Genomic DNA, 23,953 nt, shown 5'->3' with positions numbered 1-23,953 from the left:
ATGGAGCTTTTCCCCAGAAGTCTGCCACCTAAAACATGTCCTTGTTAATCCTTTCAGGGAATGAAGTCTCCAGTTTAGGAGGCTGAAGATCAATAGTTCGACTGACAATGAAGGGTATGAGTGATGGCATGCTGGAGCAGGCTGCCCAGGACAGTCTAACCAGGCCCTTCAGTATTGCCTGGATCCTGCCATGTCTGCTAGGCCAGGAAGCAAAACCAGGCACCCCCGGGGGATGAGCACTTCAAGGGCTTCACCATGGGTGATGGAGACCATGCTTGCCATAATTAAGTGGCTCGGAGAATGGGAGAGTAATACCAACTGATCTTGATTTAGTTGGGAAAATGCATTCTATCATTTGTTGTTAACTATTAAAGCCATTTAAACCCTTCTGAGAATAGATCTAACATTGGACTGCTTTGAAGGTTTGATATGTCTTGTAATCCATAGATTATTGAAGTTAATTTCTCTGCTGAGATCCTGCTATCAGTGAAATTGCATGCACACTCAAAAGTTAAAAAAATAAAAAGAAAAATCTTTGCAATTGGATTTCTGCTATGTCTCTCAGTCCAGAAAAGTAGCAATGATGGGAAAGGCTGGTTGAGGATCTAGAAGGAAAAAGGTATCATAGCTCCTCTTAAATCTTCAAGATATGTGTGGACAGAGTCATGTTATTTGTCCTTTACACATTTAGAAATCTTTTTAGTTGTTCTTAGAGAGTCCCTTATAGAATAAGCTAAAGTAAGCAATAAGTACTGATTTATATCACTGCAAATCATTTTTCCATACTTTCAATTAATTTTAATTGAATCTCTTCCTCATGATTTTCATATACTTTTAAATGAGTTTCAGTTGTAGAGTTAGAATGCAACTGATTCTTGAAGTTGACAAGTTTTAGTTTTTGATCATAGATTATTACATAATGTTGACAAGTGTTTCTTGGACTACAAGACTGCATATTAAATACTATGCAATACTCATGGTACTCTCCATCCACACACTATTTTACAGGTGGGCAAAAAGCAGGCTGTGTTGAACCTGTAATTAATTTCCAGAAGGTACAGTTGCTTCATTGCTTACCAGCTTATGACCATCCTCTAGAAGTTGGCTGGCCAGGAGAGCCTTTTTAAAAATGATAGTCAATAGTGGAAATTATATCAAGTACCAGAAGGGGAAAGGAAGGCAGAAAAAGAAGGAAGGAAGGAAACTCCATGGCTTTTTGAGTTGATTTTCAAAAGGTGCTCTTATGTCAGTTACTCCTTCAGTTACATGCATTTGTCCACCTGATTCTGAATTCATTTGTCTTCCTCTCCAGAAGGTTGACCTTAGGACTTACGTGACTAACATGCAATAGAACATGGTGGCCGCACATTCTCACTAACCAGCGCATGCTGGGACCCATTTATGGGATTTCCACTCCCCTTTTTGCCTCTATAGAACAATGAAGCAACCTAGTTGTCCATCAAAATTTCTTCCATCCAGCGACGGAACCAGGATAAGCAGAGGGTATTCACATTAACGAGACTTGGGCAACCTGTTTCAGAGAAGTTGTTGTCAGCTAGATGTTACGGATGATAAAACTCAGTCTTAGAAATAGCTTGTAACTTGCCCAAATATACATAGCTATTAAGTGGCAGAGGTGGGATCCAAACAGACTAAGTGTAAGCTCCAGGAGGGCAGGGGTGATTGGGGGATTAGAGGAAGTATATAGAGGATCTTGTCTGATTGACTGATACGTATGAGCTCAGTGTATGTTTCTGGGATAAAAGAAAATATTAGCTCAAACACCTTTCCACTGCAGTGTGACAAATACTGATATTTCAGACATCAAGTTATGTGGTACAGACAATGAAAGTTCCTTGGACATCAAGTGGGAGAAGACTTGTATTACCTAGTGTCAACAGGAAAGGCTTGTTGGGGGACGTGAGGCTTGACACAGCCCTGAAATGACGGGTAGGAGGGCAGGAGGGAAGGTCATCAGGGGAGATGGGAAGATGCAGAGTTGGAGATGAGAAAGATAGCAGGGATGAGACTGGGCTGCTTGAGACAGAAGGCTTATGGTTGGCTGGGGCTGGCTGTTGATTCTAGATGCATAAAAGGCTTGGTAACCCCAAGCAGTGGCATCCCACCCTGAGCCAATGGGCAGCTTCCCTGGATGAGAGAACCACTTTCTCAGTGCCCAGCTAATACTCCCAAGATCTATTAACCCTTTCTGACCACCAGGGCCACAGTCATGGCTCTAGGGTCTCCATCAATAGCCGAGCTTGTCAAGCTTGAAGAGTTGTTTACTTCATTCATTTGTTCATCTGTTCATCCATCCATTCATCCATCCATCTACTATTCATCCCTTCATTCAGTATTCTACAATATTTTGAGAATCTACTCTGTGCCAGGCACTGTGCCAGGACCTAGAAATACATTGGTTGCTGCCCTCATGAGGATTACAGTCCCTTTAAGTGTCCATGTACAGAAAGCACTTTCTGTTCCTACCAACGTCAAGATTGCTGAAAAGCTGAAAATGAATCAACTTAGCCTATTTCTTGGGCCTTCTCAAAATGCTTAAGACTGTATCTTCTTTTCTTCTTTTTCTTTTTCTTTTTTTTTTTGAGTGGCAAGTTCTGTTGCCCAGGCTGGAGTGCAGTGGCACAATCATGGCCACTGAATTCCAGCCAGGGCAACAGAGTGAGACACTTGCCTGCTGGGCTCAAGCAATCCTCCCACCTCAGCCTCCCAAGTAGCTGGGACTAGAGGCACATACCAACATGCCCAGCTAATTTTTAAGTATTTTTGTAGAGAGGGGGTCTGGCTATGTTTCCTAGGCTGGTCTTGAACTCCTGGCCTCAAGCAATTCTCCTGCCTCGGCCTCCCAAAGTGCAGGGATTGCAGGCGTGAGCCACCACACCCAACCAAGACTGTCTCTAAAGTAGTTTTGATCTGAGAGAAAAGACAATTTCCTAAGCTGCAGAAGGCTAAATTAGAACATACAAACAAAGAGGAAAGTTCTGCAAGGTGCAGACTTGAGAAATGATGATGAATCAGGGAGGAGGGAGACCTGTGTTGCTCTGGAAGGCTTTATTAAAGAACAGAAAAAGAGAGCTAATCCCGAAGGCTGGACATGGATTGGCAGAGAGAAGCTGGAGGGCATTTTGGGCTGTGTCTCCAGGGTCTTCACACATTCTCTGAACTGTACTTTGCATAGATATATATCCATGTGGAGAGAGAGTCACACACTTTTATTTAATCAGGAGTGCTGTAGCACCGCAGGGAAAGAAAGCGTAACCGCAGGGCCATCGGGGGAGCCACACTTTCCACTACACCCAGACTAAACACACAGCACCTTCACTAACAGCTTTCTTACCACTGATCCCTTATCCTCCCGCTGCTGGGGGATTTGAAAGTGTAAATAACACGACAGCTAAGAGGCGTTATCTGCCTGAGTCCCACAAGGAGCAGGGGAGAGGAGGTCCTTCCAGCTGCTGCTCACCACTTGCAGCAGGATACAGGAGGTGGAGCCCAGACTTGCTGGGGGATGTGAGGCTTAACATGGGCCTGGAATGATGGATAGGAGGGCAGGAGGGAAGGACATCAGGGGAGATAGGAAGATGCAGCGTTGGAGATGAGAAAAGTAGCAGGGATGAGACTGGGTTGCTTGGAACACACAGGGATTGTGGTTGGCCAGGGCTGACTGTTGATTCTAGATGCATAAAAGGCTTGGTAACCCCAAGCAGTAGCATCCCACCCTGAGCCAATGGGCAGTTTCCCTGAGTGAGAGAACCACTTTCTCAGTGTCCAGCTAATACTCCCAAGATCTATTAACCCTTTCTGACCACCAGGGCCAGAATCACGGCTCTCGGGTCTCCATCAATAGCCGAGCTCGTCAAGCTTGAAGAGTTGTTTACTTCATTCATTTGTTCATCCATTCATCCATCTGTCTGTTATTTCATCCCTTCATTCACTATTCTACAATATCTTGAGGACCTACTCTGTGCTAGTCACTGTGCCAGTAGCTAGGAATGCATTGATTGCTGCCCTCATGAGGACTACAGCCCCTTCAAGGGTCCATGTACAGAAAGCACTGCTTTCTGTTCCTACTGACACTCAGGGGCTAGGGGTCAGCCCCATCCGGAGCCTTGATTCTGGAAGGAAGTGTTCAAGTGTGGGGCACTTCTTAAGCATCTGGGTGGAGCTGCAGGCCAGGACCCATACATACACACACACCAAAAGCACACCCATTCCAGCTGCCGAGGAAGCCCTTCTCCCAATAAAGTGTAGTGCCTGCTAGTCACCCTGGCTTGCCAATGGCCTCTCTGCCTCTCAGAACAGTTGCTCCCTGCACTGCAGCCAGACAGAAAGATCTCTGTTGGAGCCACCCGGGGCATCTCCCCACCAGCCTGGAGAAAGGCCAAAGGGGCTGAGGGTCCTTTCAACAGCATCACACAGCATGGCCCTGTTCTGCTCAGGGACTGTCCTCCTGTGACTCCCACACTTTTCTTAGAAATACCACTCAGAGACCAGGAACTCCTTCCAACAGGTCTCATGACTGTCAGTGTTGATAAGGCCCATGGGGACTACCTAGTGCTACCCCTCATGGCACAGATGAGGAACCTTAGGCCTACAGAGGTCTGGGGCTTACTTAAAGTCAATCAAGGAGCTAGTGAGAGGCCAGACAGGTGTCTCATGCTTGTAATCCCAGGACTTTGGGAGGCTGAGTTAGGAGGATCCCTAAGGCCAGGGGTTCAGGACCAGTCTGAGTAACATAGTGAGACCACATCTGATATGGTTTGGCTGTGTCCCCATCCAAATCTCATCTTGAATTGTAGCTCCCATAATTCCCACGTGTTGTGGGAGGGACCCAGTGGGAGATCATTGAATCATGGGGATGGTTTCCCCCACACTGTTTTCATGGTAGCAAATAAGTCCCACGACATCTGATGGTTCTATGAGGGGTTTCCCTTTCCACTTGGCTGTCATTCCCTCTCTTGTCTGCTGCCATGTAAGACGTGCCTTTCACCTTCCACCAGCCATGATTGTGAGGCCTCCCCAGTCACAAAGAACTGTGAGTCCATTAAACCTCTTTTTCTTTATAAATAACCTAGTCTTGGGTATGTCTTTATCAGCAGTGTGAGAACAGACTAATACATCGTCTCTATAAAAAATAAAAAAATTAGCCTGGCATAATGGCATGCACCTGTAGTCCCAGGTACTCAGGAGGCTGAGGCAGGAGGATCACTTGAGCCCAGGAGTTTGAGGCTGCAGTGAGCTATGAGCTATGATCACACCACTGGTCATTTGCACCTGGGTGAGAGAATTAGACCCTGTCTGAAAAAAAAAAAAAAAAAAAAAAAAGAGAAACTAGGAAGAGAAGCCAGGACATCAGCTGTGTAGAGAATTGGAAGCTGCAGCATGTAGAGAATTGTTTTCAACTGTGTGAGCAGTAGAATCACACCCACAGGCTCCCTTGGCAGTAGGCACCCTATAGAGCTTCGGCCTCCTCCCTTTGGTGCACGTCTGCCCATTGTGTGTCACTGCCTCGGTCTCCCTGAACTTCCAGATTACATTGTTTTCCCAGCTGCCAGCCAAAGCTTCCAGAGCTGAAAGTGAGTCTTTGCTACCAACAACATGGCCAAAAGCTGCCTCACCTCTGGGGAAGCAGGACCGCGGACCCTCACCTCTCTTTTTTCCCTCAGAGGATTCCACTGGGAATCCTGCGACATTCAGTGTCTTCCTGACTCTTGGACATAACTCCTTCTTTTTTGTTTTGTTTTGTTTTTGTTTTGTTTTACACAGAGGAGTCTCGCTCTGGCTCTGTCACCAGGCTGGAGTGCAGTGGCACGATCTCAGCTTACTGCAACCTCTGCCTCCTGGGTTCAAGCAATTCTCCTGCCTCAGCTTCCCGAGTAGCTGGGATAATAGGTGCACCACCATGCCCGGCTAATTTTAGTATTTTTAGTAGAGATGGGGTTTCACCATGTTGGCCAGGCTGGTCTTGAACTCCTGACCTCGTGATCCGCCCACCTCGGCCTCCCAAAGTGCTGAGATTACAGGGGTGAGCCATTGCGCTGGCCCACTCCTTTTCTTTACTGTCCTGCTTCCAGCCACAGACATCCAGAAAGTCCTCCCAAGAAAGGACACAGCCATCAGCTGATCTCGGCCTCTCTCTGTCCCCTGCAAGAGCTGTTTCCAGTCCTCAAAGCCAAATCTTCAACCACCACAAGCAACTGTAACTTTTTTTTTCTTTTCTTTTTGAGATGGACCCTGGCTCTGTTGCCTAGGCTGGAATGCAGTGGCACAATCTCAGCTCACTGCAACCTCGACCTCCCGGGTTCAAGTGATTCTTGTGCCTCAGCCACCTGAGTAGCTGGGACTACAGGCGCCCACCACCATGCCCAGCTAATTTTTGTATTTTTAGTAGAGAAAGAGTTTCACTGTGTTGGCCAGACTGGTCTCAAACTCCTGACCTCAAGTGATTCTCCCGCCTTGCCTCTCAAAGTGCTGGGATTACAGGCGGGAGCCACTGTCTCCAGCAACTCTAACTTTCCATCATAAATTTAGAGGCAGGAGAAGTAGTTGAACTTATTAGTTGACTATTATTTCTTTTTCTAAATAAGTAGTTTTACTTACATAGTGAATTTGATCAGGTCTGCTTTTCTAAATTCAGATGGAATATCAGATTTTGGAGTTTCTAAAGCAAGCTTTTCCTGCTCATAATTCCAGAAGCTAATACCCAATTCTTCTAGGAAAATCACTTCCAGATCGAATGAGGACCGATGGGCTCCTACAGGTCTTGGAAAATGCTGGGGCCACCTGCAGTCACAGCTGTCCACTTCCTGTGGACACAGTCTCTGCTGCCCCCATCTGATCCATGGAGGATGTCAGTGGGGTCACCAGCAGGGAGAGTTCCAAGCAGCCAGGAGCTGGAGTTGCTCTGACCACTGTGGAGACCCTGGTGAGAAACGGGCCCAAAGGGGAGGAAGAAAAGAGTAGGATGAGCTGGAATTTCCTCGAGACCCTATTGTTTCTGCAGCTCCACACAGGATCATAGGAGCCTGAACCCAGAGGGCTTAGATGACGTCTGGGCCAGAGCATCCATTGGCTGAGACACAGCAGCTCCTCAGCCTCCTTTGGAAGAGGGGCTGGGAGAGTCTTGCTCCCAGCACCACTACAGCATACCCTCCCTGGCATGCCCGCAGAAACACACAGGTACCCCACTCCACAGACAGAGCCCCTGCTTTTGCATGTGGAGGTGTGCCTCACTAATCTTGGCTTCTCGGGCACCTGACCACAGTTGTGCTGAGTACACCCACACCTACTAGGGTCAGACTCTGGATGCCAGTGCCTTGAAAGACACCATTTCCCATCCATCAAGGGCAGGAGGAGCATTTGAGAAACTCGCTGCAAGACCATAGGTCTCTTCAGCATGGGCCCTTCCCTGTAGCACAAACCAGAAAGCATAAGGGGGACCTAGAACTCCGAGTAGGGTACAGCAGGGAAGGGGTCCCCAGCCCGGGGCTCTCTGTGGCCTGGACCCAATGTTGGCCATTGGGGCAGCTCAGGTGCATTGCCAATACCAGAACCACTGGGTGAACATGGATCCCCTGAGGGCAAGAGAGCAGGAGAGGACCTTGAAGATGAGGGAGGGAGCCAGCAAGGGGTGACAGGGAGAGGGAGGCCAGGGGCTTTCAGACTCAGCAACTGCGTCTGCTCAATCCCAGCCATGGGCCTTTGGAACTAGGACATTGTGAAGAAGCCATACAATCTTTCAAGACAGCTTTCTTAAAAAGAGTCTACCAGCAGAAAGAAGAAAGGAAGTTTTCCTTGTGGGAAGAATGGGTTCAGTGGTGGTAAAGCAGGTGGTTGTAGGAAAGACCTCAGAGCATACCAGAAAAACATAATGGAACATCTCACCAGAGTGCTGTCCTGAGACTGAAGGAATTAAAACATCTTCTAAAGTATTAGATTCACCCTGCCACACCACTGTCCATATAACTCAATGTGCCCCTTGGGGATGTGGGGACAGAAAGAGATTGATTGCATTAGTACCTACAAGGCTCATGCCTCCTTCATCCATGCCCTCTGCTAGGTTCCTCCCACACTGACTCTGGGTGTGGCCATGTGACTGTGGCCGGTGGGATGATTGATGGTAACTTTGCAAGCAGAATTGGGCAGAAGTGCCTCTGCGTTTCCATTTGCTCTCTTGGAAGAGCCTCCATCATGAGAACGAGCCCAGGCTAACCTGCTGGAGATGAGAGACCACACAGAACAGAACTAAGGAACCCCAGTCAAAGCCATCCTAGACCAGCCATCCTCCAGCTGACCTAGCCACCTACTGAATCATGAGGAAGTCCAGTGAAGATCAGTTGAGCCTAGCCAGGATCAGCAGGATCACCCAGCTGACCCAAAGACCTGTGAGAAAACATAAATTGCTGTTGTTTTACCCACTAAGTTTGTAACACGGCAGTAGCTAACTGCTATAGCTGTCATGGAAAACCCATTAGTCATTCGATCAGGTGCAAGCCATTTTCTTCTTCTTGTTTTACCTCTCTAAACTCTCTTACACTCCAAAGATAGAACACAGATAGTGATTTTCTAGCTATAAGTAAAAGAACAACTAGCCTGTAACTCACAGTTAATGATCAATAACTAAGTCTTAGAAACAGGGTTAAAGACTTTACATGTGTAATCTTATATAGTTATGTCAGGTAGATACTATTATTATTTCTATGAGGAATCTGGAGCCCAGAAAAGCTAAGCAGCCTGACCAAGGTCACAGCCTCCAGCAGTAGAACTGGGCCACAAACTCAATTCCAGCGGATGCCAAAGCTTGTACTCTGAAATGGTCCCCTAAGGTACAAATGAGCCTGCCCAGAACCTGGATAACTCTCTTTTGACTAAATCCCAATGCCTGATAAATGGCCCATGAGAGCCCTATGGCCTGGTAAGTGGAGCTGGGTGTCAAGCCTACGGTGAGCAGTGTCGGGCCTCAAGTTGTCCTTCCTGCTCTGCAAAGTGAACAACTTTCCAACCTAGATGTTTCTTGAAGAGGCCAGTATTTCAAGAGCTCAAAAGATGCACGTGAGTATTCTGCAAAAAACTAGACCTAAACAATTCCATTGCATGAGCAGTGCCCAATATGGGAAGAGCTCATTCCTCATGTCGTATAACCCAAGGACCAGCCAGAAAAACTTACATAGAGACCAGGCCAGAGATTCCGTGCTCAGATGCAGCCAAGAAAAAGCCAAGATGTCCAGCATGACAACCGAAAAAGAACTGGAACAGGAAGACCTGTGGATGTTTGCTTTGCCAAGGCAGGCATTATGCCTGGGCTCAGAATTCCAGGGTCCCTACTGTGGCCCATCCCCAGTGGGTGACTGAGCTGGCTCTTAGTTAAAACACTGCGCTTCGCGGGCCAACCTTCCCCAGGAACTAGGAAACCCTCTCTAGTGACCAGGTTTCTATAATATCAGGTCTCTGAGTCAGAGGAACATTTTTTTCTTTAATCTGAAATTGCCGGGCTGACTTTACAGCATCTCTCCAGAAACCCCTTCAGATTCCACCTCTGAACTTTAAAACAACAATTTTATTTAGAGAGCTGATTTATTTGCAAGTAAATAGGATACAGGGTGGGTGAAGTAAAAAGAACCAGGAGGCAGTTATTGGATTTATCAGCACAAAAGCCGCACTGTTGCCGGCAACAGAGGCTCTCCCATCCCTGTACCTTTCAAAACTAATATGTAACCATATCTGTTTTAAAAGAGTGATTCATTTTCCTCCCATTGCCTGCGAAACTCTCTTCATCCCCACCACAGGAAACTTGAGTCTGATTTTAATGAGCTTCAATTGGAATGTGGCCTTTGAAAAGTAGTGCATTTGAAAAGATGGAACATTAAATTTTGTAATGATGTAAAACATCTTCAATTTTTGACAGGACAATGGTGCTTATTGTACTTTATGAGTCCACTGGCGATTCAAAGGTCACTTTGTATATGACTCCACAGACAGGGGCAGCACTGAATGAAAATTAGGTTACATGTGATCAGCTTTATTATTAATCAGACGAAAATGGATTTTTAACATTTTTCTAATGAGCAACAGAGAAAGAAGAAAATACCACGAATAAAACTACAGAAGAACTAGAATGACCCAGGCTAAAAATGTACCATGGCCATATCTAAAAACGCGCTTTAAATCTGCAATACTTAAATACTATCTCAAGGAATAAAATGCAGCTGCATATCTTGGTGTCGTAAATACACAGAAAACTGCTGAAATACCTACTCTAATTTACTATCTCTGTCCTTTGTTTATAACTAACTAATGAACTGACTTCTCTGCACAGTATATTACCCCAACCCCCAAGAACACCAGGCTGGCTGAAGTTGTGTCACTATTTCCATGATAAATCCTGTTTTTCGGGGGTTTATAACTCAGCTGTAAATATGTAATTCAGACTAAAACTTGGCATACAAGGCCTTAACCATGAAGCAAATTTACACCACAACTGCCACTCCACCCCCATCTAATTTTTTAAAGCTTTCTTCTATGTGTGATATTTTGGTATTAAAGAGCCGGGGTATTAAAATGAAGGAGAAAAAAACATGCACAATAAATAATCGTTGAAGAGTTGGTGGCTTTTGCTTTCATTTCTTATTCAAATCAAAAAGCTACTTTTCAAGATGCTGTTTGCAAAACCTATCAAGGTGTTTAAGAAACAAAACAACAACAACAACAAAAAACAGACTTCAAATCCCAAACAAATAAAACCAGGCAAAAGAGTATTTAAAGTACAACTGTGAGGAGCATGTGAACCAGGGAAACTGAGGCAGGGATGTGCCGGCTTGCAGAGTGCCTCCCTAAAGAGACATGCAACTCCAGGAAAGGCCGGATCCTCTTGTCTGACTGTTCCCCTTGGAAGACGGCTGAGTTGCTGAAAGCATTGCCCAGGACAAGAAAGCCTCCAGTCCCCACGTGGACCAGGTGGATTTGCAGGAAGAAAACTCCACAAGCCTCACTGTGAGCACCCAGTCCCCTGGGACTGGACACTGTGGGCTGCAGAGGAAAGTGAGGCAGGGGGTATGGATGGTGCATGGCAGTGGGTCCCCATGACCAGGAACAGAACCTGGCTGTCCAGCCCACAGTATCAGACATGAGCGCCACTAGCGTAGAAGAGCACAGCCTATCTGCAGCTTCTGGACAGCTGTCAATTCCCCAGGAGGTCAGAAAGAAGTCAATAAAGAAGACAGAGGGAAAAGATTGAAGTTCAACCATGAAACTGGGGCTCCCAAGATGTCAAGGACAGGGGTGGGGCTCTGGAGAAGGAGGACCCAGGTGGGGCTTGAGATAGCAGTGGAGATGGAGGAACGATGGGGGAAGGAGACAGAGCGGGAGACGCAGGCTTGGAACAGAGTGTCCTATCTGCATCGTCACTGACACCGGAACAAGGACCTCCATCCTGGGCTCAGTCACCACAACAGCCTCCTTCCCGGCCTCCTACCTTCCCACCCATGGGTCCCCCACGCCCAGCAGCCTGCTCTCTCCAAATCGTCTCATGCTCTGCAGAGGCTTTCCTTCCTGCCTGGTGGAAAAGCCAGGGTCAGAGGCACTATGGCATCTGTGGGACCCACTGCAAAAGAGAAATGCAGGACCCTTGGCTCAAACATCATTAAGAATTCCAATGTGGGCACACTTGACCCTTATACCATGAGCCGAGCCCTTCTCAGTGTAGGCCTTAAGGGACTGCATGGGGCGCACACCCCATGAAGCTGGCCTCTGCCGGAGTCGCTCTTGTGGCCACAAGGCCTAGGCCATTTCTGTGACCCGTCCCTCCCCCTCTTCTACATATTCTCTCTCCAAAGTTCTCTGAACTGTACATGCTGCTGTCCTCAGGGCCTCACCCAAGTGTGCGCCCCACATCCTCCGAGGAACGCACTGGCTTCCTTCAAATCCCTGGGTGTCACTGCACAGGCCTTGTCTCTGTCCACCTCTGGAAAGTAGCAGCACCCCCGGCACTCCCTAACTCCTGGTTTGCCTTATTTCTCTCCATAGCCTTCTCACCATCTAACCTACCCGTTATTCCATTTGCCCACTGCCCTCTAGACTGTGAGCTGCCTGAAGGCAGGGAGGAGTTTTTGCCTCCTTTCTGGACCGCTGGGTCTCTGATACCTAGGAAAGGATCTGGTGCACAGGAACCATCAGGAAATATTTGCTGGATGACTGAGCAAGACAGATGTCGCTACTCCCTCAGTCTCGCTCCTCTTGCTGCAATAGATGGTGGTGGCCACCTGGGCGGGCAGGATCATCTTCAGGAGGCCAACAGAGCAAGGCTCTGGATGGGAGGGGTGGTGTCCAGCCACCACTGACTGAGAGGTCCTGGGAGTAGGGGACCATACCATGCCAACAAAGTCCTATCCCATGGAGGGGCTGTCCATGGAGGGAAGTGCCCGGCGGGGCATAGCAAAGGAGAAACAGGTTCACAGGTCTAGGGCTTCTGGCTGTTTTTGTGCATTTCCATGCCCTAATGTTGAGAAGAGTGCCTGGCATAGGAGAGATGTTCCATCAATGCTTGCTTGCTGAATGAATGAATGAATGAATGAATGAATGGATAAATTCTGCTGCAGAGTACCTCCTGACCATGTTTCCTGACAACTCAGTAATCCCCTGCACAGACAACAAGGAGTGGAGGTAAGGACTACATGAGCAGAGACAGGCTGTGTAGACCTGTCCCAGTGTAGACTGACAAACCCAGATGACGAACTACAGCCCACAGCCTTCCTGCCATCACTTTCCGATGCATGGCTGCACTAGACTAAATTCAAGCCACGCTAGACCTTAGCCTCTCACCTTTAAAAAAAAATCGAATAGGATTTAGCAGAAGTCAGGAGGGAAAAACTCATTGATTAAAAAATGTATTTTTAGTTTTATTTTATAACAAATACATAGATATTATAGTATACAAACAGATAGATCTATACACTTGATCATGATGAAGTGCATACCTTCAGTTTTGTTGCTGTGACATGGCCTGGCCTGGCATGAGCTCTTCACAGCATGGGATTACATGGGCTTCAAGCTAAGTGAGCATGCAAGCTCCCCTGTAAGAAGAATGCTGGATTGACCGGAAGCCAGAAAGGCCTTAAGGCAACGCCTGTCTCTGCTGAATCCTGCCCTTGCTATTCAAGCCCAATGTCTTTGGCTGGACCTTGGGCATCAGTGAGGGAAAGAGGTCATTGCTATTGTGACCAACCGTTAGCATCAGTTGAGCACCTAATGGGGGCCACCCACAAGCCAACTTCCCCAAGGCAAGGTATAGCTCAGCAGCAGGAGGCAGTGGGCTTGGGAGTTGCACCTCTGGGCCTTTCTTTGCAGAGGAACCCACCTGGGATCCTGGCTTCTTTTCTTGAAGGGTCTCTTCCCCCAGTCTTTCATGCTTACCCTGGTTCTCTGATCCCATTGCAAATTCACCCCCATGCATGGAGAACATCACAAATAGTTTTAGGGTACAAAAGAAGCCTTTCTACATGTCTTCTCAAGTTGAGAGCAGATAAAGTATTTTAAGGCTGCTATAGTTCCTAATTTGACCTTTTAATTTTGGGAAATAGATACTATTGCAGCTAGTATGAAAGGTGGGCTACCTTTTGCCTCCCAGAATGGTATGCAATGCAAACAATATAACAGCCAGCTGGGAGAAGAAATACTAAAAAGAATCATCCAGAAACAGCTATTTATTTGAAAGCAGTTTTCCCTGACAAAAACTGGGATTTTGGAAAGACAGCTGCCCGTCCTGGCAATAGCTCCTCTGCACCTTGGGTGGCACCACCACTGTCATGGCCATCATGTTGGAAGGTGTCCAGGAGGGGCTGAACCCCTGCTGGTCACGGTCAGCATGGAGTGAAACTTCATGGTGCAGGCAGGTCTGAGCAACCATCTGCCTCTCTCCAAGGTGGCTTAACTCAGATGTCCAAGGATTGGCCCACGTTTTCCAGGTGAATTTGTTGTGTATGGCCATCAAAAGTCCTGACGAGCTCCTGCTCTCTATCCATGTGATACCTAAAAGGAAACCGGGTGGGTGTAGTTCAATCCATGGACTCTGTCATGGACAGTCTTGGTCCGTGAGGACAAAAGACCTTCATCTTGGGGGAGTTGGAGGATGGCTGTGTTTCTCATAGTATCATGTTTCCAAAGTCTATGACCAATCTTCTAAGTTTCAACCTTTCTTTTCACCAGGAATGGGGGGAATGTGCAAAGAATGAGTTATGATGCCTCCCCTAGGCCCAGTAGTCCTACCGTACAACTGGTCAGCCTCAAAAGACACATCAGAGTCCCAGGAACAGGCAGAAGTATTCCAGGGTAGCAGAATGAGCCTGGTATTGGGAGTCAGGAGACCTGGGGCCCTAGCCCTGCCTTTCACTACCACAAACTATTACTAATGCAAGTCATTATTTTCTCTTTGAACATCAGCTTCCCCATCTATAAAAATGGGAAAAACAGCCCCAAGTCCCAGCTCTGTTGACCACACAGGGCCCTCGAGAAGCTTGGATGAAATATCAACATCTGGAAAAACCTTGGAAATCCTGTTCACTTACACAGGGATCTCTGGGTCCTGAGGTCTAAAAGCCCTCCAAAACTCTGTTCCTCTCTCATCTGAGGGTCTTTGTCTTTCCTGTACCCTCTCCTTAGAATATGTGCCCCCCTCAGATTTCTGCACACTGGTGCGTCTGGTGCAGGTGGGTCTGAGCAACCATCTGCCTCTCTCCAAGGTGGCTTAACTCACATGTCTAAGGGTTGGGCCACGTTTTCCAGGTGAATTTGTTGTATATGGCCATTAAAAGTCCTGATGAGCTCTAGCTCTCTATCCATGTGATACATGTGATACTGTCTCTAGTCTCTCTCCAATGTCCCCCTTCAACAAAGAGGCCTTCCCTGCCCTCTGGGGTATAGAATCCTGACCTTCTCATGTGAAGGTCCAGCTCTTCCTCCTGCCTCAGCATCTTCATATCACTCATCCTATGCCGAACTTATTTGTTTGTTTGTTTGTCAGTGTCCCCATAGAAGGTAAGCCCCACGAGAGATGTCATCTTGATTACTCTGTTGGCGACCATCTGCCAACGCTGTGCAAGAATGCCACATGTGCTAAAGTACATGGACAAGTAACCATGCACCTTCCCCATGATGGAATCATCTCCTTTCTGACAAATTTGGAGAGAATGCTGTTTCCTCGTTCCCCAGGACAAGGCTGCTGGATGGCAGGTGAGGTTAGGGAGTGGAGGGTAGAGGGGTCACAGTGTTTCCAGAATGGCCGTCCACACAGCACAAGATCTGCCCCCACCTCTCCTCTCTCCATATCCCACAGCTGCCCCCCTTGGGTGCCCCCACTTCACATTCTGCTCTTAGGACGGGGGCCTGGGACCTTAGTGTGATGAACACCCCTCTCCCATGAATGTGCGAGGGATAAGCCTGCCTTCCCGTGAGACGCAGCACACAGACACCAGCCTCAGGAAGCAGTAGGGAGAGTTCCTTTTCCAGAGAAGGGCTCTTTCAGTACTTTTTCTGCAAGTAGTACCTGGTCCTAGCTAGAGATAACTACACAAATCCAAAGGCATGGGCTACCATGACAGTTAGGGCCGCATTAAACCAAGATGCCCACCTCTTACCCATGTTTCCAAGTGGCCAGTCCTTCTGCAGGAAAAGATGCCCCAAAGCTGCAGGGACAAGCCACACAAACACCTTCCTTGCTTGGATGTACAGTGACAGCACTCAGAGGGATCAATTTGGATGCGTGAAAACAAGACCACCCCTTGTCTCTGCTTCTACAACCAAGGGCAAGTCCTCTCTCCAACCTCCCTATCAAATGTGACCTCTAAGATGACTTCTATCTCTGATAGCCTAAGATTCTTTCATTTCATCATGGAGGGCCCAATGTAGGCCTCAATGAGCCCTAAAAATAAAGCAGGCTGTCTAACAAGGCACCAGAGATGCTGTGGGGGAGACTCATGCCTGTGGTGAGAGGGGCCTGAGACCGTGGGAGGAAGCCGGATGTTGGGATCACACTGGCCAAAGGTCACAGAGAAGCAGGAGCAGGAAGTGGGCCTGGAAGAAATGAGAAACATGTAGGGCCAGCACCAAGAAGGGGGCATGGACTGCAAAGAGTCGTTCTATCCCTCTGAGTCTTCCAAGTTACTTTCTCTGCTTTGCTGCCATGGCATGAAAGCAGATAAAGCTTCCCAGGTTGCCTTTTACATCTTTGTTCAATGAAGGGGGCATGATTGCTCATGATCCTCACTGAAGAGGGCTTTGGGCATCTTGACCCCTACTTAGCCTGTGTGTCAGACACACTTGCCTTGGAGTTCTTTGGGAGATTCCCAACTTTATATTTCACTGAAGTCCCGAGCAGACCTGCAAAAGCCATCCTCTGCCTTTTGGCCCCTCTCAAGCCTCAAAGACCCCCAGTAGAATGGCCTCACCTCTACTGGGGACACAGCTTGAACTAGACTTTTGAGCGAACCAGCCCACTGAAGCCGACCACCTCTCCCAGGAATGACCCTTTTGTCAGAAGAGTACCCACAGTGCTTCTTAAAGAGGAAAATGTGCTAAGATATGAAAAACTAGAATCAAAAAAAAAGGGGATAAAATGTAACTGTAAAGAGACTGACTGCAAACAAGCCTGCCTGTGTCGATGTGGGGCCAGTTAGACACTCCACAGGCCCTGCGTGAGGCCCACTTATCTTCCTTTGAGGAGCTGGGGGGCAGCTGACCACCTGTCCAGAGGATGTGTTTTGATAACTCCCAGAAATAAGAGGGTGTTTTATTGGGGAGTAATTGGGCATATTCCCTCCATGACTTGAAGTCAACAGGCAGCCCCTACAGCTGGCCCTTCTAGGTGCTATCAGCAGCGAACGCTATTTTCATGGCCAATTTATTAGAGACTCCATGTTTTTTGAGGAGACTTCACCAACACAAAAAGGGGTATATTTATTGATATGCTTAAAATATAGGTTTTTAACTCAATTCCTTCACCCTTAAAAACAAAGTAAAGAGATAGACAGATACAATTATGTTCTGACTGTTTTCCGCCAGCCTGTCCAATGGGAACGTTTGTATATAGTTCTCAGTGGCGCTGAAATCTGCTTAGGAAAGCAACAAGTCCTTTGTTCTGTTGACAACGGTTATTACAATTAATTCATTTTGTGATTGGTACTTATGCTGAGTGACAAGGTGTTATTTTACCTCCGTAAAAGTTAAAGTGGTAATATCTACGTGCACAATAACAACGTGGGCTTGCTATCACTCACAGGGAGAAGAAAAGGCTGGCTCCCGGCTGCCTCTGCACCTGCCACCCTCTCCGTACCCCACGTGCCAGTTTGAGTTGGGAGGAACGTGCCGGGTTACTCCACTTGAAGTTCCTGCCTTCCAGCCCACCCGGCTTCTTACAAAGTTTTTCATCAACGCCTGAGGTCTGAAGGTGACAGGATGTGGAGGGAGGGTGTCCAGGGGGCACGCCAAATGCCGTGGTGTGAGCTGCATGGCAGGGCACGCCACTTGCCTTGTCACCATGAGTCCAACTCGGAGTTTCACTGAGAGGCCTGGTTCTCCCCTCTGTGCACCAAGGTATCTCAACCTTGGCACTATTGCTACTGATATCTGGGGATAGATAATTGTGGTAGGGGCTGTCCTGTGCATTGTAGGCATTTAGCAGCATCTCTGGCCCCTGGATGCCAGAAGCACTCCCCTCCCCAATATCTCCAGACATTGCTAAGTGTCCCCCAGGGGAGAACATTGCCCCTAGCTGAGAACCACTGCTATCCACAGCCCCCGGGGCTATTTGCTGTGTTGTGGACAGAGGGTTCAAGAATGCTTCTCTGGGCCGGGTACAGTGGCTCTGTAATCCCAGCTCTTTAGGAGGCCGAGGTGGGTAGATCACTTGAGGCCAGGCATTGGAGACCAGCCTGGCCAACATGGTGAAACCCCGTCTCTACTAGAAAATACAAAAATTAGCCAGGCGTGGTGGTGCATGCCTGCAATCCCAGCTACTGCAGAGGCGGAGGCAAGAGAATCACTTGAACCCAGGAGGCAGAAGTTGCAGTGAGTGGAGATCATGCCACTGCACTCCAGACTGGGTGACAGAGCAAACTCTGTCTCAAAAAAAAAAAAAAAAAAAAAAAAAAAAAAGAACGTTTATCTGGCTTCGATTCCATCTCAAGCTCCCTGAGGAGGTTGGCTTCCTCACCTAACCCAGAGACTGAGTGGCAAGGTAGGTCCCATCATAGCCCCCACAGGAAAGGGCACAGGAGGATGACAGACCTCTTGTACCATCAAGAAGGTGTGGCAAAGGAGAATGGAGGAAGAGAGAAACCAAACACCTCCCCCAAGAACACGGCTGCAGAGCCCATTTCAAAGAATGGATGCATCTCCAGGGTAGCCCAGACTTTCCTCTAGCTAGGATGATCAAAAAATGGCTATGGGGTCTTCTAACCTCACCAGGGTATCATAAAATTTATTACGTGATATATACCTCAACACAAAAAAAAAGTTGAACAAAATTCATCTCTACTCATTATTAGGGATTTCAACAATTGCACACTAGGCTTAGAAAAATTCTGGTTATCTGAGCACTCCAGGGGCTTTGCTTCTGGATATGTGGTGTGTCCTCTCTGCTCATTGATTCCTATGGATTCATCATTTAGTTCTCCATTTAACTTCCTTATGCAGCTACCAGCTCATCGCATTAAGGAAAAGATGCAGGATGAGGCAAGACCATCCTGGTTCTAGGTGGATTGTCTCAGAGAGGGCCCAACTTATTTTCAGGAGGAGCAGTAAAAGCAGGGGCCCTGAGAGGCAGGGCTGGTGAAGACCATGGTCCTGTGACCTGCTGCCCATCCCTTCCCCTTCAGAGCAGCCCAGTTGCTTTTCTGCACCAGACATGCACTGACAAAGCCCTAAATCTTTGCCCCCATCACCGGGGTCCCACTGTGCCAGAACTAAGGGCCTGTCATCTCGGCTGCCCCAGAGCATGGCTGGGCATTGCCAGTGTCCCCAGCCAGGCTGACGTCCCTTTCCAATGAAAAGCTCAGCAGATTGGACCTGCCCTGTATGTCTGCCTTGGAAAACCATTGACAGGGAGTCATAGAAATCCTCCTGAGTTTTTTTTTTATTAGCAGTATTTATCACCTTCTCAAAATCAATTGCATATTTTAAATTAAAACAAATGACTATTTCTAGACTAATCAATACTTGCACCTTTGCCTTTTAAAAAGTAAAAAGTTTAATGTAAAGAAATCCTCATCTTTGCTCCCATCAATTCAATTTTAACATAATTCAATATTTAATAAATATACTCCTCTTTGTGCAGAACAATGTCATAGAAAATGCAAAAGATTTCATGGTATCCAAGGTCTCGTGAGGTGGAAAATGATGCCTCTTCCCCCGGAAACTCCCAACCTCTGGGTACTTTCCTCACCTTCTTCACATATCAGGAGCTGTTTATTCCTAAAAAGTCTAAAAACCAAATTGGGTTTATGTATTTAATGATTCTAAAACCAAAATGCTACCTACTGTCTGCACAATTGCCATTTTTATCTCTTTAAACTTCTCCAGCTTGACGTTTCTAAAAGGGCAAAAGCAGAAAACCCTTATATAATACCTAATTTGTACATCTGCGGTTTCCTTCAGACTGGTACAGGCACCATATGTTTTTAATTATCATAATAGCCCTAAAGAACCTGTTCTGTGGGAAACACATATGATCCTTTTATTACTGGTTTGTAATTTAAACAGTTTTAACAGAAAAGGTCTGGCTATCGGGGAGTGACAGCCTCAAAGGCCTAAGATCCCAGCCATCGACCTCTGGAAGCTCAAGTTCAGATCCCACCCACCGAGGGAGACCTCCTTCCCCCTGCCTGACAGAGGTAATTGGGCACATGTGAAGCGGCTCTGTGGGACCTTAAAAGACATAATCTGGGATCTCCAGTGACGCCGGGTTTTGGTCAGAGTCCGGCACAATGAGAATAAGGTTGATAAATATTATCCTGGTCTGACCTCCGCTGCTGTCGCGGTTGGGGGCAGGGAGGGGCAGCTGGAGCCCTGGGCCACCCACTCTCTATGCTCCCTCAGACCTGGACCTCAGGGAACAATTGCAAGGTGGGGGTCAGGTTTCCTCGGGGCCCTCTCGCTGCGGGGGAAGGAGGGAGATGACAGATTTTTGCTTTTTTTCCCTGAGGCTGGAAAATGACTGAATAAATATAGCCCTAAAAAGAACTGATTCACAGACTGTGACATGGAAGGACTCAGGGTTATCACTGCGACTTTGTCATTTATGGAGAGGTGAGGACACTGAGGGGATAGGAGGAGAGCTCCTCAGGGTCACGTGGCAGGTTCAAAGCCACTCTGGTCACAACCCAAACACCTGGTCCCTACCCAGTGCCCCGCCCACGCGCTCCAAGACGGTGCTCCCCAGGCCCTGTCTCAGGTTAGGATCGCCAAATCGCAGAATCGTGGCTCAGAAATGCCCCATTCTCTCCTGACATGAGCCTGGCGGGCTGGCAGGAACTGGCTGTTGTTATGTACTTTTGGTTGGTTTCTTTATTTTTGACGCATCTCAAATGTGTATTAAAGGCACAGAAAAGCACCCGCAAGGTGAGGCAGCTGAGTGGCCACTCCCAGGGACCTCCACTGCCCAGAGAAGCCACTCCCAGGAACCGCCACTACCCGGAGAGGCCACACGCGGGGACCGCCACTACCCAGAGAGGCCACACACAGGGACCTCCACTGCATGGAAAGGCCACAGGCAGGGATCCCTCCACTGCCCAGAGAGGCCACATGCGGGGACCCTCACTACCTGGACAAGCCACTCCCGGGGACTTCCACTACCCAAAGAGGCCACATGCAGGGACCCCCACTACCCGGAGAGGCCACATGTGGGGACCTCCACTGTCCGGAGAGGCCACAGGCAGGGATCCCTCCACTGCCCGGAGAGGCCACTCCCAGGAACCTCCACTGTCCGGAAAGGCCACACACAGGGACCTCCACTGTCCAGAGGGGCCACATACAGGGACTTCCACTGTCCGGAGAGGCCACAGGCAGGGATCCCCCCACTGCCCGGAGAGGCCACTCCCAGGGACCTCCACTGTCCAGCTCTGAATCTCAGCCCCGTTGTTTACATGCGAGTGATCTTAGGTGTGACAAGATGCTGCTCGGTGCCTCAGTTTCCCCATACTTAAAATGAGAATAATAAATACTCCATCCACATCCTTGGGTTTTCATGAGGATGAAATGTAAGAAGCTAATTTGTACTCTCATCTGTACAGAGCTTAGAACAGGACTTGCCACAGAGGAAGTCTTTATTATTTACAACTTTGCTTGGAAGGTTAGTGGGTGAGTTCGGAGGACCAGATCCTGCTGCTGGGATAAAGGGAGCTGTTCCTTGGGCATGGAGATATTTTGGGGAAACAGTCATCTGCCCCAGACCCAGGATGCCCCCACACGGCTGGTTTTTGAACGGAACAAAACGTCCCGGTGGTAACTGATTTCTGGGTGACCCCTCATAGACACTCAGGGTGTGGGGCAGGGTTAGGAGCCGTGGCTGACTGAGTTCTCCTCTAGGCTGCCCAAAGGCCACGACTGATTTTACATAGTTGCCCTGAAAGTGACTTTCTTTATTCCACGACTGCTTGATTTTAGCATCCAAGCGTGACCTGGGATATTTTATTACTTTGTTTTTTTCTGTTTGTTGGTGGTCACAGCCTGACGTTATAAATGCTGTGTCTTGGAGGACTGGTGTGATGCGGTTGATGACACTGATTGCTGTCATCTGTGAGATGGGCTATCAGGTTCGGTGCTTGGCATTGGAGGTGTGTGTCTCAGGGAATTCCCCTCCCTGACTCTGCAACAGCTATCCTCACTCCTGGTGTTCAGCTGGCCAAGCTGAGGCTCAGAGGGGCCCCCTGGAGTGGGAAGGTCATAACCTGAGGCGCTGGAAGAGTAGAAAATGACAGCAAGAGCAGACAGCAGGCATTGGAGATGACAGAAGGTGGGGATGTGGGAGGGGGTGAGGGTTTAAAAATCACCTGTTGTGTACAGCGTTCACTATTCAGGTGACGGGTACACTAAAAGTCCAAACTTCACCACATGCAATGATATAAAAACAAAAATTTAAAAAGAAAAAGAAAAAAGACTGTGGGCAAGCCATCTAGCATCTCTTGGCCTCAGTTTCCTCATTCATAAAATGGGTTCTGATAATGACAGAGGGTTTCTGGTTACGCAGAAGTGGCTGGGGTCCAGAAGTGCTGAAGGCCTGGCAGACCTGCGGGCTTCACAGGAGGGTGGGCCCCCACCGGGGCAAGGCTCGGAACAAGTCCGGTAGCAGGCCAAGTCTCCCCAGATCACCCCATCTTTCCTCCTCTGCAACATGCTCTCTCCCCGGGTAAGTAGATGGAGCCGTCATTCACTCAGCTGACCTTACCCTTGAAGAAGCAGGGCAGGCAGTCACAAGCCCAGATTTGGCTTCCTAACTGACTCCAGAAGACCAAGAAGAAGCTCTCTGATAAGTTAAAAAAAAAAAAAAAAGGAAAGGGGTCTACACATTCCCCACCCCAGAGGGGTTGAGCTTTCCTTTTGGCAAAAAGAGGAGCAGATGGTCACCCTCGTTTGAGATGTCAACGGTGACCTCTCAACGCAACAAACAGAAGTGCATCTTAATCAGAGTTCTTCCCGGACAAGGCGATGGCACGGACCCGCCCCTCTAGGAAATAAGACCTTCTTAATCACAGCCCTGCAGCCACAGTGGCTGTTCTCCACCCCTGCCTACCAGGTGCCAGCCCAGCTCTGTGGCCCCGCCGAGCCCAGGCAGGAGTGGAGCATCTCCCCGTTTCCAATCCTTGGAGTCATAACTCACATTACTTCCATCCCATCTGCACCCAGTGAAGGCAGAGCAGGGAAAAGAGCATAAAACACAAAGTTCCCACAGACAACATCTGTCTCAGTGCAAACAATGGACCATTATCTTGTAAATAATTCTGATTAAGCTGCAGCATTTCCTCCTGAAACTGGCGGTGGGAGTGGAGCAAGCGGGAGGAGGCACTGCTGGAGCTCCAGCCCGAGCGCCAGGGGCTGCGCTTGGGGGTCTCCCTGACCCTCGAAGCCTCCCCAACATCCCTACCCACAGCCACTGAGCACCCTTCTCCCCAGCCTGACCACCAGGACCACCAGCAGTGGGATGGCCCATCCCATCAGCCTGGGCACCTACAGCCCCAGGAGGCTTCGGAAAAGGTTCCCTGCCAGGATCCTTTCATTTCTGCTGGCCTTCTCTCTCTCTCTCCTCTTTACCCATTTCTTCCACTCTTTCCTCTCCTCCAGATGCAACCTCCACCATTTCTCTTCTACTCTCTTCTTACTTGTTTTCTCTCTTACCTTCTCCTTTCCTTTTTTCTTTTTTTTAGATCTTGCTCTGTTGCCCAGTCTGGCCTCCACCTCCTGGGCTCAAGTGATCCTCCTGCCTCAGCCTCCTGAGTAGCTGGGAGCACAGGCATGTGCCAACACACCCGACTCTTTCATTTAATTTTATCTTCCCAGGTCTCCAGGTTCTCTTTAATCCTCCTCCTTCTTCTCTTTGAACTGCATTTGCACTTCTCTCCCTCTATCTTCATGCATTTCTCTTCCTTTCAGCCATTCACCCCCTCTTGTTTTCTGGTCCCCTTAGCCCTTGGGTCCTCTGTGGCACTCTCCCTCTCCCTTGGTCCCCCCATCCCAGGCCCCTGGGGCTAGGCCTCCCTGCTGTCCCATCCCAGAGACACCTTGACATAGTGGGAATTGTGTGTGTCCATCTGGAGGTTCCAGGCCTGTGTGCCCCAGCCTGTCCTTGGGCTCATCCGCAGGGGTTGTCAGGCTGGGCAAGGGGCCCTTAGGAATCCCTCTTCCCACCACTAGAGCATCCGTCACGCCCAGCACCTCTCCCTCCTGTGTCTTCTGG

At 48.4% G+C, this 23,953-nt stretch overlaps 1 protein-coding gene across 31 annotated transcripts in view, besides 1 other annotated feature; it reads right to left on the bottom strand.

Moving 5' to 3' along the window:
* Positions 1-23,953, bottom strand: part of ZNF536 (zinc finger protein 536) — a 487,995-nt gene that overhangs the window by 125,868 nt on the left and 338,174 nt on the right. The window lies entirely within an intron of this gene.
* Positions 22,870-23,621: an enhancer, noted in NCBI's record as "H3K4me1 hESC enhancer chr19:31055005-31055756 (GRCh37/hg19 assembly coordinates)". NCBI's record gives its function as "activates a minimal SCP1, AML or CMV promoter by ChIP-STARR-seq in primed H9 embryonic stem cells {active_cell/tissue: H9 hESC(primed)}" and the evidence as "EXISTENCE:reporter gene assay evidence [ECO:0000049][PMID:30033119]".

Source organism: Homo sapiens, chromosome 19, assembly GCF_000001405.40.
Source record: "Homo sapiens chromosome 19, GRCh38.p14 Primary Assembly".
Classification (NCBI taxonomy): Eukaryota; Metazoa; Chordata; class Mammalia; order Primates; family Hominidae; genus Homo; species Homo sapiens.
The sequence above is the reverse complement of the archived record's forward strand: the minus strand, read 5'-3'. Positions and strand labels throughout refer to the sequence as shown.